General features: G+C 42.2%; 2 long non-coding RNA genes across 3 annotated transcripts in view, besides 1 other annotated feature; one reads left to right on the forward strand and one right to left on the reverse strand.

Moving 5' to 3' along the window:
- Positions 1-9,361, reverse strand: part of LINC02492 (long intergenic non-protein coding RNA 2492) — a 139,764-nt gene extending 130,403 nt beyond the window's left edge. Inside the window, exons 1-2 of the long non-coding RNA NR_110436.1 lie at positions 9,282-9,361; positions 2,482-2,558 (exon numbers count right to left, since the gene is read on the reverse strand). This is a non-coding gene — a long non-coding RNA (long intergenic non-protein coding RNA 2492). The remainder of the gene's footprint in view (positions 1-2,481; positions 2,559-9,281) is intronic.
- Positions 8,026-9,225: an enhancer, noted in NCBI's record as "CDK7 strongly-dependent group 2 enhancer chr4:188592460-188593659 (GRCh37/hg19 assembly coordinates)". NCBI's record gives its function as "activates an origin of replication core promoter dependent on BRD2, BRD4, P300/CBP, MED14 and CDK7 cofactors, with strong dependence on CDK7, by STARR-seq in HCT116 cells {active_cell/tissue: HCT116}" and the evidence as "EXISTENCE:reporter gene assay evidence [ECO:0000049][PMID:35650434]".
- The window catches only part of LOC107983963 (uncharacterized), a 42,518-nt gene continuing 34,738 nt past the window's right edge, over positions 8,505-16,284 (forward strand). Inside the window, exons 1-2 of one of the 2 annotated variants that reach the window (XR_939608.2) lie at positions 8,742-9,174; positions 10,303-10,474. This is a non-coding gene — a long non-coding RNA (uncharacterized LOC107983963). Of the gene's footprint in view, positions 9,175-10,302; positions 10,475-16,284 lie in introns of both variants that reach the window. The other variant, XR_939607.3, reaches the window with a different exon arrangement.

Here is a 16,284-nt window from a genome sequence, read left to right on the forward strand (position 1 = left end):
GCACTTCCAATGAGTCATGCAGATCATGTGTCTGTACATCCCACCCAGATATACGAGGCACTAGCCACTGTTCCAATTTATCAAGCAAATGCTTACTCACACTTTAGGGAAACTTCTTTAATAATTTAGAATCACCTGTATCTTTTCTCCCCCAGCATATACATACTCCCCCAGTGTATGTATATTTGTTGCAAAGCTTATTACATTTTGGTGTGGATGTGATTTACTTGTTTATTTCTTTCCAAGTAATCAAACCAATTCATCTTTCCATCTCACAATGTTAGACACCGTGCTTGGCACATACAGATATATAATGGATATATATTAACTAAGCAGATACATATGTTAAAATGAGATCTGAGTCATGAAGATAATGAGCTTCTCTTTCCCAGCTCACTGCAGTACTCTTCTTACTGTGCCTGACTCTGATGGGCTCCATTTTAGAATTTTAAGGTTGTGAGGTTGTGTTACCAGAAAGGGGTCATGATCCAGACCCCACAAGAGGGTCCTTGGATCTCTCCCACGAAAGAATCAGGGTGAGTCCCCAGTGCAAAGTAAAAGCAAGTTTATTAAGAAAGTAGTGAAAGTACAGCTACTCCATAGACTGAGTAGGGCGTTTCCAAAAGTAAGAGGAGGAACATGTCCACCCTAGGTACAATGCTTGTATACACGGGGAGATGTGCTCTGCCACAAGGGTTTGTGATAAAGGATTAATTTTCTTAATTACTGTATTTTGCAAGAATCAATATTATTATCTTTAAAGCAAAATTAGGAGTGCCTTTGTTCTCCAGATATCGGGATATCTGGACACCCCCAGGTCAGGTTTGTTTAATCAACATTATTAATCTGTTCCCTTAACTGTAAACATCTAGAGGCGAGAAATGTGTGACTTTCTGGGAATGCGGCCCGGCAAGTCCCAGCATCATTTTCCTGCCCCTCACTCAAGATGGAGTCATTCTGGTTTCAACACCTCTGACAGTTGACAGGGCATTATAGGTAAAGTAGTAGATCTCTCATCAGAAACAAGAATCCCCACTACAACCAGGCCCCAACTCACCTTATTTCAGAAATGAGTGAAAAAGAAAACATCTTCAAAGAGGTTATCTGTGCTCCTGTCCCTTACGAGCAAGATAAAATCCACTGTACTTCACTTAGTACTATAATGTTAAGTGTCTGCTTCAAGGTGAAAGATTTAACTGCTATTTTTTACACGTGGCACTGATAAAACTCAAAATGGGACACAAGGCAGAATAGCATGACAATGACATCAGATTTAGGGAGGCCCAAGTACGTCTGTCTTTACAGGATTATTTCTTAGAAGTTAACTGGGCTCAGAGAGAGTATATTCAAGGTCTTTTTTTTCCTTTTCTTTTTAATTAGTGTGGGTCAGAGGAATTTTGGGAGTGGATCAATAGATTGCCAACCTCCCACTACATCAATGTACCTTCCAAGGGAAAATAGACAATTTAGTTAAGCTCTGCATTTCCTGAACAACTTCTGGATCAAGAGTTCATTATCTGCTATATTTGCCAATATGTAAAGCCTTCAGGATAGTTGCCATAATTAAACAAACAAAACCTTGTATTTGCAGACATATGATTTGAGATTCAAAAGGATTTCTTCTTTTATTTTTGGTGTTAGCTTTGACCCTTATTCTGCTTGTCACTTTTTCTTTAGGGAGTGTGCAATTCTAAATGCTTCTCGCTTAGACAGTAGCTTTGACATCCAGTACAAGTGGACCCCTCACCTTTTACAAAACAGTTAAGCTACTTATCAGATTTCCTGGTTTCTCAAACCACTCTTTTCTATCAGGTGGAAAGGACTATTCTCTTGGGAGATCGAGGGCCATGAGATATAATTAACTTTCCCCATCCCTTCCCTCTTAGGAAATGGCTTTTAAACAACTTCTATGCATCCCACCATGGTTTATGACTACACTATATTAAACATGATGAAGCATTTTCAGAGAGGAGGGCCATCATTATGAAGTGAGTTTAAAAACAAATTCCCATGAGATCTGATAATTATCTCATGGAGCAGAGATTATCTGCCTACTGTAAGAGGCTTTATTTTGTTCACTGCTGTGCTCATAATAATAGCTTGCAGTGTGATATAAAAAGGAGAGAGTGAAGCATACAATCTCAGGAGACCAGAGACACCACTTCAGTTCTATAAAGGAAATCAGACATAAGAAGACAAAAACAGTGCAAATAACAATCATATTCTGAAAAAGAATTTGATCAACTCTCAGTCATCTTTCTTGGTTCACATTGACGCAGTTTAGCAGAAACATTTATTGTTCGTATTATTCCATGTCTCTGGCTTTCATTCCCACATGCAGTCTACAAATCAGGTGGAGATATTTAAACCAAAGTACTTCATTCCCTTCCCCAAATGAGGAAGTAGTGATGAGAAAAACCGCAGAGAAAGAGAGAGCAAGAGCGCGAGAGAAGGAGAGTAAAGATAAGAAGGCTAGCTTACTCTGACACTTGTCACCAGCAGGAGATGTGGTCTAGCCATTCCTCACAGAGCAGGAAACCAGGGGCTGTTGCATTCAGCTGTGAGCAGAAGACAGAGAGGGAGCCTGAAGGTGGGACTTCATTATATTATTTAAAGCAAATTTACAAAATCTCCTATTCATGCGTAAGTTAAAGTACAGAATCACATTTCCAGGCCAAGTATAAATGCAATATTGTACTTAGTACCAATTCAAATAAAGACGAATGGATAATTGAGACCTGTGAGCAACACACTCCTTGGTACCAATTCAAATAAAGACAAATGGATAATTGAAACCCGTGAGCAACACACTCACAGGTGTCAGGATTGGAGTACCACAGAAACTGATCATCGCTGCAGCCCTACGAGAGCATTTGGTTCCATCCTCTCACTCTGCAGATGAATATAAGCCAGAGAGATGAATCACCACACTGAGACCCAGACTGGGTGGTCTTTCTCCAACGAGTTATGCAAAGATTATGTTTATGTTACATACAAGTAAGTTGTGTGTGTGTGTGTGTGTGTGTGTGTGTGTGTCTTTTTGGCCATTTTAAGAGTATAGTATTTCCAGGGGGCTGTTGTAAGTATTATGTGTCTCAAAACATCAAAAGAGTGTAGAATCCTAGTGGATGGAAATAATATAATAATATTTATTGCACGCCTGCTAGGTATGCAATGAGGTATGTTACCTATATTGTCACATTAATTCTCAAACAGCCCTATGAGAAACACCTCATCTTCCAGGTGAGGGGTGCTGACACTCTGAGCAGTTAAGTGCCTCTTGCTATGTTGACAAAGAAATGGAGAATGAGTTTAAACCTGGTCACTGGTGTCCCAAATCCCAGTCTTTCTGCCTCATTAGACTGCCTTCGGCACGTCCACTAGCATGGTCTCAGGAAATTCTGTTTGTGAAGTTCCTGCTTGTGTTTTAGCAAGCGAACGAGTCGTTGGAAATAAATAACTGTCCCGTGACTCCCACTCATGACTTTTCTTGACAACCTGATGGCAGCATTGCACAAGATGGAAAATGCTGTGCGATGTCTAAGGAGGGTGGAGCAGGCTCAGCTGCAACATGAAACATCCATCTTCCTTTAGCGTCTCCTCTGCACATCATTCACACTTACAGTGCAGCCCAACTTTTCTCAAGAAAAGCCATCATGTCCCGTGAGGCTTTCTGGGCTCTGATCCTAAAAGGACAGTACATTTGGAAGCTGCCTTTGAAGCCTGTTCACACATGTCTGCTGCTGAAGTTAAGTTTCCAGTATGTGAGGACTCTCAGCATAGGGGTTGGATAAAGTAGTTGATGAGGATTCACGTGTAAATAATGAAAGAAGCAAGTCGATCTTTGTTGCTGTTATTCTGAGGGAGAAAATAGATGGGCTGGCCTGCCACTCAGAGGCTGCAAGGAATAATTTATCAGGTGATGTTATGTTTGAAACACAAAAATAAGAGTTAGGAAATTTGAAAGTTGGTCAGCATTAATTTTCTGCTAGCAAACAACTAGAGATGTTGTCAAAAATGCCAGCTAAGGCATTTAATGAGGGGGTGTACCATGAAAACAAGTAGCAGACACAAGCTCATTCATTATCTTTGTTCCTTACCTGTGAATACTGAACAATTTGTCTTTCTAAATCAGTTATGTTTATATTATGATCATTCAACACAGAAAGAATTATCCAATCTAAAATCACCTAATTTATCTAGATCAGGGTTTGGCAAATATTTTCTGTAAAAACCCAGATAGTATTTCTGGCCAAATTAGACAAATCCTGGCCTATTTTTTTTTTTTTTTTTCGTAATTGTTGGCAGTAGCATGTTTAATATGAGAAAGTCTTCTTTGTTTATGTTCAAGGACAAGGAGAAAGAGAATTTGGGAGAGATGATTTGAGTAGGCCAGACTGGAAGCGGCAGTAGGAGATTACAGTACGGCTGCTTCCTTGCTGTGGGGGATTTATCTTTGTACTCTTTGCTTGGGAGAGATAGTTAATGAGTCTTAACATCGGCTCACGACACAGGTGATTTGCCAGAAAAGAGTCCTCAAGGGCGAATTAAGGAACAGCCCAGAACAACAGGATCCCAAGTTATTCTATCATGGTAACTTCTGTCTGTTCAAGACCACACAGCCTCATCTCTCAATAGCACTTTTTTCCCCAAAAGAAATGCTATTTTCAACATCTGACTTAATTTCACACTGAGTTCCTTTGTTTTTAATTTTTAATTTAATTATTATAGGATGTGATTATTTTGTATTCAACGGGGCTTACTTTGCTTTGGATATTATTATACTTTATCTTAGCCTTTCATCAAATAACAGTATCCTACGGTGTAATCAGGCATCAAGAGATAGAGAAAGATCATGCATGGTTTTAGGGTCCAGGCACTTCCACATGCAAAGCATCTAACTATAGTTTCTCTCTGAACCCCAGGTGGCTCATGTATGAAATGAGGCTGGGTGCGGTGGCTCATGCCTGTAATCCCAGCACTTTGGGAGGCTGAGGTGGGTGGATCACCTGAATTCAGGAGTTGGAGATCAGCCAGCCAACATGGTGAAACCCTATCTTTACTAAAAATACAAAAAATTGGCTGGGCATGGTGGCAGGTGCTTGTAAATCCAGCCACTAGGGAAGCTGAGGCAGGAGAATCACCTGAACCCGGGAAGTGGAGGTTGCAGTGAGCCAAGATAGTGCCATTGCACTCCAGCCTAGGTGACAAGAGTAAGACTGTATCAAAAAAAAAAAAGAGAGAGAGAAAGAAAGAAGGAAAGAAAGAGAGAGAGGGAAGGAAGGAAGGAAGAGGAAGGAAGGAAGGAAAGGAAAGGAAAGGAAAGGAATAATTTCTCACTCCTAAGGTCATTGTGAGAACTGGAGATGACACAGGCCCAGTGCTTGTCATAATGTCTAGCCCATCCTAGATACTCAGTGCTGGCTGTTCGTAGCCTAATATAGCAAAGTGCTGCTTTCAAAGCCATGTCACTTTGTTTCTCTCGTTTTTTTAAGCAGCTGAATATAATGTCTATTACGTGTGGGAGTCTCCTTTTTCTCTGAAGTAAATTATGTCTAAACAATTTATATTATGAATCATTGGGATGGGTGTTTCACTGTCTAGAACTCATATTTTCCTATGACTTCCCTTTTGACTCATTATACTTAGTGAACTAAGTTTCTAGTAACAGTCCAGGAGGCAGGGGCCTGTTTCATGACTGACAGTGGTTTTGTGCTGCGAAGAGATCAAAAGGCTTGATTTTACATTGTCATACCTTATTTTTCCTGGACTTTGCTTATGCTCTGTTGATGGTGATAGCACAAGGATTCCTATAAGTTTGTATATAATAATGTAGTTGTTTGTAGAATTTGGAGCTTAGAATAAGTATTTTTTTTCTTTAAAACAGAAAATTGTAATAGTTTCCCTTAAAGGGCTGTCCTCTCACACAGTTAAAATTAGCTGTCTTACTAGGTAAAACTATATTATTTTGTAATGATTAAACTAGTATGGCCATTCACCTCATGTCTCTCAACAGTTTCTTGTCAAATTTGGGAGAAAAAAAAAAGCGACCTTATAAGATTACTGCATTCCAAATGCTAGAGTGCATTATGCCTGGGACCAAATGGGACAGGATATATGCTCGCCTCTACTTGGCTGTGTAAAATTTGCTTGGAAAAGAGACATTCTGTCTTTTGAAAGAGAGCATGACTTTCCCTTGCATTGTGATCTATGAGCTGTAGCTAAGAGCACCCTCGGCAGTGCAGACCCTAAGGCAAACCTACCACATGTGTCTCTCCTTCTCCCAAGGATGTTTTCTACAGGCAAAACCCGAATAGTAGAGTGAGCATAAAGGCTGTCTTGAGAGAGAGAGAGGATCCAGAAATTTTTAAAGAATTGCTTAATTGACTTGTTTCATGCTCTTTCTATTCCCCCTCCCCCTCCCACACAGAATAGATAGTGCATCATCTCCTTTTATCTCTTATCTTGTTTCTGTGGGGTTTTTTTTTTTAACGTCATTCATGCTGTAAATCACTTTTTTGTTTGTTTGTACTTTGCTTCTTTATTTTTAATTTTTCCATAAGTTATTGGAGCACAGGTGGTATTTGGTTATATGAGCAAGTTCTTTAGTGGTGATTGGTGAGACACTGGTGCACTCATCACCCAAGCAGTATGCACTGCACCATATTTGTAGGCTTTTATCCCTCGCCCCCTCCCACTCTGCCCCCCAAGTCCCCAAAGTCCATTGCATCATTCTTATGACTTTGTATTCTCAGAGCTTAGCTCCCACATATCAGTGAGAACCATACAATGGTTTGGTTTTCCATTTCTGAATTACTTCACTTAGAATAATAGTCTCTAATCTCATCCAGGTCACTGCAAATGCTGTTAATTCATTTCTTTTTATGGCTGCATAGTATTCCATCGTATACATATACCACAGTTTCTTTATCCACTTGTTGATTGATGGGCATTTGGGTTGGTTCCATGATTTTGCAATTATGAATTATGCTGCTGTAAGCATGAGTGTGCAAGTATCTTTTTCAAATAGTGACTTCTTTTCCTCTGAGTAGATATCCAGTAGTGGGATTGTTGGATCCAATGGTAGTTCTACTTTTAGTTCTTTAAGGAATCTCCACACTGTTTTCCACAGTGGCTGTACTAGTTTACATTCCCATCAGCAGTGTAGAAGTGTTCCCTGATCACTGCATCCACACCAACATCTACCGTTTTTTTTGTTTTTTGATTATGGCCATTCTTGCAGGAGTAAGGTGGTATGGCATGGTGGTTTTGATTTGCATTTCCCTGATCATTAGTGTTGTTGAGCATTTTTTCATGTTTGCTGGTCATTTGTATGTCTTCTTTTGAGAATTGTCTATTCATTTCCTTAGCCCACTTTTTGATGAGATTGTTTGTTTTTTTTTCTTACTGATTTGCTTGAGTTTGTTGTAGATTCTGGGTATTAGTCCTTTGTCAGATGTATAGATTGTGAAGATTTTCTCCCACTCTGTGGGTTGTCTGTTTACTCTGCTGACAGTTCCTTTTGCCTTGTGAAAGCGCTTTAGTTTAATTAAGTCTCAGCTATTTATCTTTGTTTATATTGCATTTGCTTTTGGGTTCTTGGTCATGAAATCCTTGCCTAAGCCAACGTCTAGAAGGATTTTTCCGATGTTTGCTTCTAGAATTGTTATAGTTTCAGGTCTTAGGTTTAAGTCCTTAATCCATTTTGAGTTGATTTTTGCATAAGGGGGGAGATGAGGATCCAGTTTCATTCTCCTACATGTGGCTAGCCAATTATCCCAGCATCATTTGTTGAAAAGGGTGTCCTTTCCCCACTTTATGTTTTTGTTTGCTTTGTCAAAGATCAGTTGACTGTAAGTATTTGGGATTATTTCTGGGTTCTCTATTCTGTTCCATTGGTCTATGTGCCGGTTCCCTCCCTGATTAGCTTAATAACTAACCTCCTGAATTCTTTTTCAGGTAAATCAGGGATTTCTTCTTGGTTTGGATCCAGTGCTGGTGAATCAGTGTGATTTTGGGGGGGTGTTGAAGAGCCTCATTTTGTCATATTACCAGGGTTGGTTTTCTGGTTCCTTCTCATTTGAGTAGGCTCTCTGAGAGAAGGTCTAGGGCTGAAGGCTGTCGTTCACATTCTTTCGTCCCCCAGGTTGTTCCCTTGATGTAGTACTCTCTTCCTTTTCCTATGGATGTGGCTTCCTGAGAGCCAAACTGCAGTGATCGTTGTCTCTCTTCTGGGTCTAGCCACCCAGTGGGTCTACCCGGCTCCGGGCTGGTACTGGGGTTTGTCTGCAACGTCCTGTGATGTGACCTATGGGTCTCTCAGCCATGGATACCAGCGCCTGTTCTGGTGGAGGTGGCAATGATGGGGGTGCAATGGACTCCGTGAGGGTTCTTAGCTTTGGTGGTTTAATGCTCTATTTTTGTGCTGTTTGGCCTCCTGCCGGGAGGGGGCGCTTTCCAGAGAGCATCAGCTGTGGTAGTGTGGCGAGGAACCGGCGGTGGGCGGGGCCCTAGAACTCCAAGATGATATGCCCTTTGTCTTCTGCTACCAGGGTGGGTAGGGAAGGACCCTCAGGTGAGGGTGGGGTAGGCACCTCTGAGCTCAGGCTCTCCTTGGGCGGTCCTTGCTGCGGCTGCTGTGGGGGCTGGGGGTGAGATTCCCAGGTCACTGGAGTTATGTACCTAGGAGGATTATGTCTGCCTCTGCTGAGTCATGCAGGTTGTCAGGGAAGTGGGGGAAAGCCGGCAGTCACAGGGCTCACCCAGCTCCCACCCAAACCAAAGGGCCGGTCTCACTCCCACCGTGCACCCCCCAACAGCCCCCAGTCCGTTTCCAGGCGGAGAGGGATACAGGCCTGAAAACCTGCCCCAGGCTACCCGCCTCCCAGCTGCGAGAGAAAAAGGCTTGGTTCTTCCCCCGCCTGTGGAGTCAGCACCCCGGATTCGTGCCCTGCCCTAGTTCTGGCCAGGAGGATTCTCACCCAGTTCAAACTGTTACAACGCTCAGCTAGAGATTTCCTTCTCCCTGTGGAGTTTTACCCCCTCCTCTCCCGATGGATCCCTGTGGTGCCAGCAGGAATGGGCTGCTCGGGGACCCAGCGAGCTCCGCGGGCCTTTCCGCTGCTTCCTCTACCCCTGTACCTCACTGGGCTCCCCAGACGGACTCAGCTCCAGGTAAAGTTGGAAATTCTCCCGCAAGCAGACCTTCAGCTTCCCCAGTGGGGGTGTGTGTTTGGGAGAGGAGGGTCTCCCTCTCCCACTTCTGCAGTTGGGGCACTCACACTTTTGCGGGGGTCTCCCGGGTCCTGCAGGAGCAGCCCACTTCCTTCAGAGGGTCTGCGGGTCCTCTCGGGACTGCTGGTTTCTTCCTGCAGTCCATCTGGAGCTAAAAGTCACAATGCGAGCCCCGCACGCTGCCCTGTCGGGAGCTGCAATGTAGTCCTGCCTCCCGTCCGCCATGATGATCTGTTCTCCTGCTGTAAATTCATTCCAGATCCAGATTCTTTCTCAGCGGCCCTTGGTGTGTGTCAGAAGCCATAATCGGTGTGTGCTACCCACCCCTACTATGCAGGGCAGCTTCATTTCCATGGGTTGCATTGATAATTATTGGCTTATTATTATATTTTTCTATGTCACTTTACATTTCTTAGTGTTTCTTACATGCTTAGCATATTTCTACACATTTTTTTCTAATTCCCAAATGAGAAGAAAGCAAATACCAACAGTATTTTCTTTCTTTGATCGTATATCCCTCTGTTCCTGTGTCAGGAAAATGTGAAGATTCAAAAGATAATTGAAAGATGATTTTAAAAAGTATTTAACATTTATTTTAAAAGCACTAAAGTTTGTTAGCAAAAGGCTTCTGTTAAATGTTGGGAGAAAAGAAAGACTTTTGGAATTTCATGGAAATATTATTCATGTGTATTTACCAATTGGTTATATGAGACATGAAGTTTTTTCCTAAGAGATAAATTCTGATCTTATACAAACCTGAGAATCTATAGGGTAAGAGGTGGAGAGGAGAGACGAACATCACATACACATCTAGCAATAATATAATAATATAAATTAGTAAAACATTCTTGAGTACAGTTAGCAATCTGTATTGAAAGCCTTAAAATACAAATGTAAAGGTGGGCGATAGACACCTTCTCTTTAGTAATCAGAAAAATTAAGGCAAAGTTGCCATCAGTTGAGATACCCAGTAATTTTTTACTTGCATGTTCCTCCTGGCTTTGTATATAATTATTGCAAATATAGCTTATAGCCTAATTCCTTTCCTTTATGTTTTAAAACTCCTAGTGTTTCTTTCATGCTGCAGTGCCTTCCTTCAGTTCAACTAATGTTCACAGAAAATCTGTAGAATGAGCAGGTAAATCCTGGAACCTCAGAATGTCAGGAAGTAGAGCAGAGAAGGAGGGGTACGGGCAGGTGCGCAGCTCGGCCTCTCTCAGTGCTCGGGTGTGTGGTACAGGTGAGTGAACACCTGGGCTTGCTTGTGCCCATAGACACATTAAATACCAGACAATTAAAGTAGGACAAAATCAACACTTTCCTGGAACACCGGGGGCAAGATCAATCCCAGGCAAACAGCTGCCTTCGTGGCTGCCCTTTTGATATTCTACTTTCTCAAATTATTCTTACATTCTTTCATTTATTCATCAAATATGTTTTGCTCCCTACAACATGCCATGTACTTTGCTAAGATTAGGGTATATAGATAAATAAGCCATGACTGCTTCTAGCACAAGAATATGTATAAAGAAAGTTGTAGATCTATATAGAAGAATAGAAGCAAAGGGGCAGAGTGGCACAGTGACCAAGTGCGGACTTGCAGGTGAGTTAGAGTTTCAGAACTCCTTTGTGTCATTTATGTGACTTGGGTAACTTATTTAACTTCCATGAGCTTCAGTTTCATTATCGTAAAAGGGGATAAAATGCCTATGTTAGGAAGTTATAGTGGAAATGAAGTCAAAGGAAAGAGTGTGGTAAAACAGCGAGCATGTATTTGGGACACGATAGCAGCCAAAATATTGCTTAAGCATTACACATATGTAACGTATCTCCTGCTTACCTAGTTGGTTTTCTTTTTTTTTTTTTTTGAGACGGAGTCTTGCTCTGTCACCAGGCTGGAGTGCGGTGGTGCGATCTTGGCTCACTGCAAGCTCCGCCTCCCGGGTTCAAGCGACTTTTCTGCCTCAGCCTCCGAGTAGCTGTGACTACAGGCGCGCGCCACCACGCCTGGCTAATTTTTGTATTTTTAGTAGAGATGGGATTTCACCATGTTGGCCAGGATCATCTCAATCTCTTGACCTTGTCATCCACCCACCTCGGCCTCCCAAAGTGCTGGGACTACAGACATGAGCCACCGTGCCCCGCCGCTGCTCACCCTGTTTGACGAAAAGTTTCAAGTGGCTCAGGTCCTGGGTGGTCGGCGGGGACAGATGGGGAGAGGTCTACCCTCATTCCTGGGCCACTACACAAGCTGTAAATGTTCTGTAAGCTCTGCCGCCTCACCTTTGGACGAGTCATTCTTTCTCCGCAGTGTGCAGACACACCTGCAGGTTTTGGGGAGCAGAAAAATCTCATTCCACAAGTCTTAACACAAATCCTTTTCCCTGTCACTTAGGCCAGCTTCTCAGAGTCTCTGTCTTAGCTTTGCAGCGGCTGCCATGCTCAGGAATGTGATCTCTAGAGTATCAGGTGTGAACAGATGTGGGAAATATACCAAGAACACATAAATCAAAGTTGCATGATACAACCACAGAGGTGATAGAACAGAGGAGTCCCCAAATCCACCCCCATGAGGTCAAGAAAAATTTCTCAGAGAAAGCATCCTTTGAAATGGGCTATTGTAAGAAAATAAGGAATTGCATGGGTGGGACAGATATGGGAGGGTATTCCAGGCAGATGAAATAAATTATGAAGTACTGAATCCCAAATTATATATTTGTGTATACCCCGTTTGTTCCCTGCTAGTGAGTGCAAATAAGGGCATTTTAATGCCCCATCACCATGGCTCTTACTAGCCAAACTGAAGGGCATTAGCCAGCCCTGTCTTCAAACATGCTCCATCCACTGTTCTCTATCCCAGAACCTGTAGGAAAATATCAGAGATGTTGAGAGAGAAGCCCACTCATGTTCTGGTGCTCCACTTTCCCCATGGAAAGCTGCTCACTGGTAAGTGGCGTGACCCATGAAGGTCAGTGTCAATGCCAGGGGGAGACAGTATATCCTGCTGGATGGAGATGCCGGGGGGAGACAGTATCTCCTGCTGGATGGAGGGCGTGCAGTTCCTCCATCACAGCTTGACACTCCCAAAAAATAGCGACAACTTTGTTCAAGTGCAAAAAGAACAATCGGATTTGTATTGGAGAAACTTTACTCTGGCTGCTGGATGGGGACCGGATTTAGGGAGAACCATCAGGAGCCTGTCCTCATTATTCAGGTACAAAATGATCATGGCATGAGTTGGCAGTGGCAGTTGTGATGAAAGGAAGTGGATAAACTTAAGAGATATTTAGAAGGAGAATCAATAGCACTTCGTGATCACCTGGAGACCCCGAGCAACAACAGGGCAAAGTCATGAGTAATTTAGCAGATTCTGGATTGGAAATGGGATGCAGAGTGCTGCTGGGCCCTCCGTGAGGCTGGGAGAGCTGAGTGTGTGTGTGTGTGTGTGTGTGTGTGTGTGTGTGTGTGTGTGTGTGTAGAGCTGGGTAAGTATTTGGGACAGGGAAGCTGGGACAATAACAAGGTTGAAACTCAACTTAGAGTTGGAGGTGCCTGTGGGATATTCAAGCAGAGGGTTTCCACCAAATGTCACAAGCTTGTCCTATTTCTTTTCTTTTTTTTTTTTATACTTGAAGTTTTAGGGTACATGTGCTGAACGTGCAGGTTTGTTACATATGTGTACATGTGCCACGTTGGTGTGCTGCAACCATTAACTTGTCATTTAGCATTAGGTATATCTCCTAATCCTATCCCTCCCCCCTGCCCCCACCCCACGACAGTCCCTGGTGTGTGATGTTCCCCTTCCTGTGTCCATGTGTTCTCATTGTTCAATTCCCACCTGTGAGTGAGAACATGCGGTGTTTGGATTTTTGTCCTTGTGATAGTTTGCTGAGAATGACGGTTTCCAGCTTCATCTATGTCCCTACAAAGGACATGAACTCATCATTTTTTATGGCTGCATAGTATTCCATGGTGTATATGTGCCACCTTTTCTTAATCCAGTCTATCATTGTGGACATTTGGGTTGGTTCCAAGTCTTTGCTATTGTGAATAGTGCCGCAGTAAACATACGTGTGCATGTGTCTTTATAGCAGCATGATTTATAATCCTTTGGGTATATACCCTATTTCTTCTTTGTGCATTTCCATGGGACTAGAATGAGCCCCTGCCCTCCGTGAGCCAACGCCAACTCTTTGTCCACATCCTCCACACCATCCTTCCCAGTGGCCCCAGGCCACACTGAGCCCCTAGCACCGGAATGCCTGGAGTCCCACTGTCTGTGCAGTTCACGAGCTGCTCAGAAGATGCTGCCTCCCCTAGTAAATCACAGCCTCCCCTAACCGAGAAGAGGGCTGCAAACAGTGGGAAGTTAAATATATATATATATTTTGTTTAGGTTGTTGGAAAAAGCCAGGAAATGCAAAGGTTCTAAATGATGAGAAACCAGATGAGATGAGGGTGATCTTTCTTTCTGAAGGACAGGAGAAATTGACTCTGTGTTCACAACATGAACAGCTAACCATTAGGGAATGCTGGTTGTAAGTTCGGCATTGCTCTACACACTTTACATACCTTATTACTATATTCATCACAATAACCCTATGAAGTAGAAACTATTGTTATCGTTATTTCTACAGATGATAAAACTGAAGCTCAGAGAGTTTAAGTCACTTTCCCCAAAGTCACACAGCTAGGAAGTGCTAATCAAGTCAGGAAGTCTACATTTTTGAGACAGAGTCTGGCTCTGTCACCTGGGCTGAGTGCAATGGCACGATCTTGGCTCACTGCAGCCTTTGCCTCTCGGGTTCAAGTGATTCTCCTGCCTCAGCCTCCCAAGGAGCTGGGATTAGAGGCATGCACCACCATGCCCAGCTAATTTTTGTATTTTTAGTAAAGACGGTGTTTTGCCATGTTGGCCAGGCTGGTCTTGAACTCCTGACTTCAAGCAATCCGCCCGCCTTGGCCTCCCAAAGTTCTGGGATTACAGACATGAGTCACTGCACCCAGCCAGGAAGCCCCTTCTAAATCAGAATTCTAACTTGGTAGTTTAGGCTCTGAACCATTCAAAGAATCTTAATTTTTAAAGGAATAAACACATATAAAGGAAGACTCATTCTTAAAGAAGGGAGTTGCCTTTAGAGGTGTAAGTATTTTGAGTCTTTGTACATATACGCTTTCTGTGTACTCTGTTCCCAAAAGAAGTAAAAGTTCTACCACCTAAAATTTTTTTATTGGAATTTACATCTTTATTGCTAGGTAAACATAAGTTACAACTGAACGACTTAGTCTCCTTTGATCATATTTTAGTGTCAGATACCATTTTTTTTTTGTTTTTCCTAAGTAAATAATTGTCTTGTTTGTTTGCCTAGTTTTCCATGTAACTATTAGTAACTCATCTTCAAGCTTCTTTTTTTTATTTTATTTTATTTTTGAGGCAGGATCTCACTCTGTCACCTAAGCTGGAGTGCAGTGGTACAGTCATGGCTCACGGCAGCCTACGGCCTTGACCTTCCCCAGGCTCAAGCCATCCTCCTGCCTCAGCCTCTCCAGTAGCTGGGACTACAGGGCATGCACCACCACACCCGGCTAAATTTTGTATTTTTGGAGAGATGGTGTTTCACCATGTTGGCCAGGTTGGTCTCGAGCTCCTGAGCTCAAGCAATCCACCCTCCTTGGCTTCCCAAAGTGCTGAGATTACAGGTGCAAGTCGCCACACCTCACCAATATCCTCAAATTTTCTGATAAAAAATATGATACTCTTCTCAGCCTGTCTACCACCTAACATTTAGCATAAATTTATTTTTTAAAAGTAGCCCCAATTTATTAAATACATGCTCTGTACTAGGCATAGTGCTAAGTAGCTTCCACTATTTGTAATTTTCACAGGAGTTCTATTCGCTAATTATGAGTCCCATATTCCACCTAGACACATTGAGTTTTGAAGGAGTTAAGCCATTTCCACTTAGCAAGTGGAAGGGTAGAATGGGACTCGAATCTGTGACTGACCAATCTCAGAATCCAAACTACTTTCTCTACCCCTTCTTAAAACAAACCTTGGCAACTCAGGGCTTACGAAATTGGCAAGTCCTTGAGAACACAACTAGTGACCATGGTAAACTACGGAAGCTCTTCAAGCTGCGTTCAGGCTGCACACTGGAATCCCATCTGAGTTTCAGAGGAGGGGGAAGCTTCCTTTCTCCAAGAGTTGTCAGGAGTAACTCACTGTTCTGGGCAATGGTGGCCACAGTGCTAAATACAGACGGTAAACTACACTCCTTCTGGAAAGAATAAAATCCAGCACATACACGTGAAAGATGATAGCTGCTGTGTGGGAGAATGGAGTGAACACATGAGTTTTAATATTCTGAATGTGTAAAAAAGGCAATTTCTTATTATAAGGGCGTTCTGTATATTCTGTCAGCATAGAAGAGACAAAAGGGACTAAAACTTTTAAAATTGAATGTCATCTACATTTTTAGCTTGGATGGATGGTAGAAAATTGCTTCATGAATCATGTGGAATAGATGGAAAGGGAAAGTGGAAAAAATGGAACAAGTCCCAGCTGTGAAACAAAAGGATTTTGAGTCCATTTCCTGAGTTCAGTAAAAAGCTGTGTGATATTTGGAGGAGTCTCCTAACTTCTTAGCACTTCAACTTACTTGACCATAAATTATAGATTATAATACCTACTTTATAAGACAAACAAACAAATACATGCGTGCAAGGCTAATGTGGAAATGCATTCACTCCACAATTACTGTTCTTAACTCCTACTTTTCATAGTGCTATACCTCTAAAATGGTTTTATATGCATTATTTCATCTAACCACACAATACTATAAGACGTTTAAAGATGTGGTGCTAGAATATAAAATTCCCAATTTTAACATTTGAAAACAGGAACTATAATTTTAAAGCATGTATTATAAGAATAATATTTCTTTAAGACTATTCTTACTATTTTATATTTAAACACATTCTTTTACTGTTAACTTCAAATTCACTGCATTGTATTGTGAAAGAAGAATTTTAATGATCTTTCTGACTGTC

Source organism: Homo sapiens, chromosome 4, assembly GCF_000001405.40.
Source record: "Homo sapiens chromosome 4, GRCh38.p14 Primary Assembly".
NCBI lineage: Eukaryota > Metazoa > Chordata > Mammalia > Primates > Hominidae > Homo > Homo sapiens.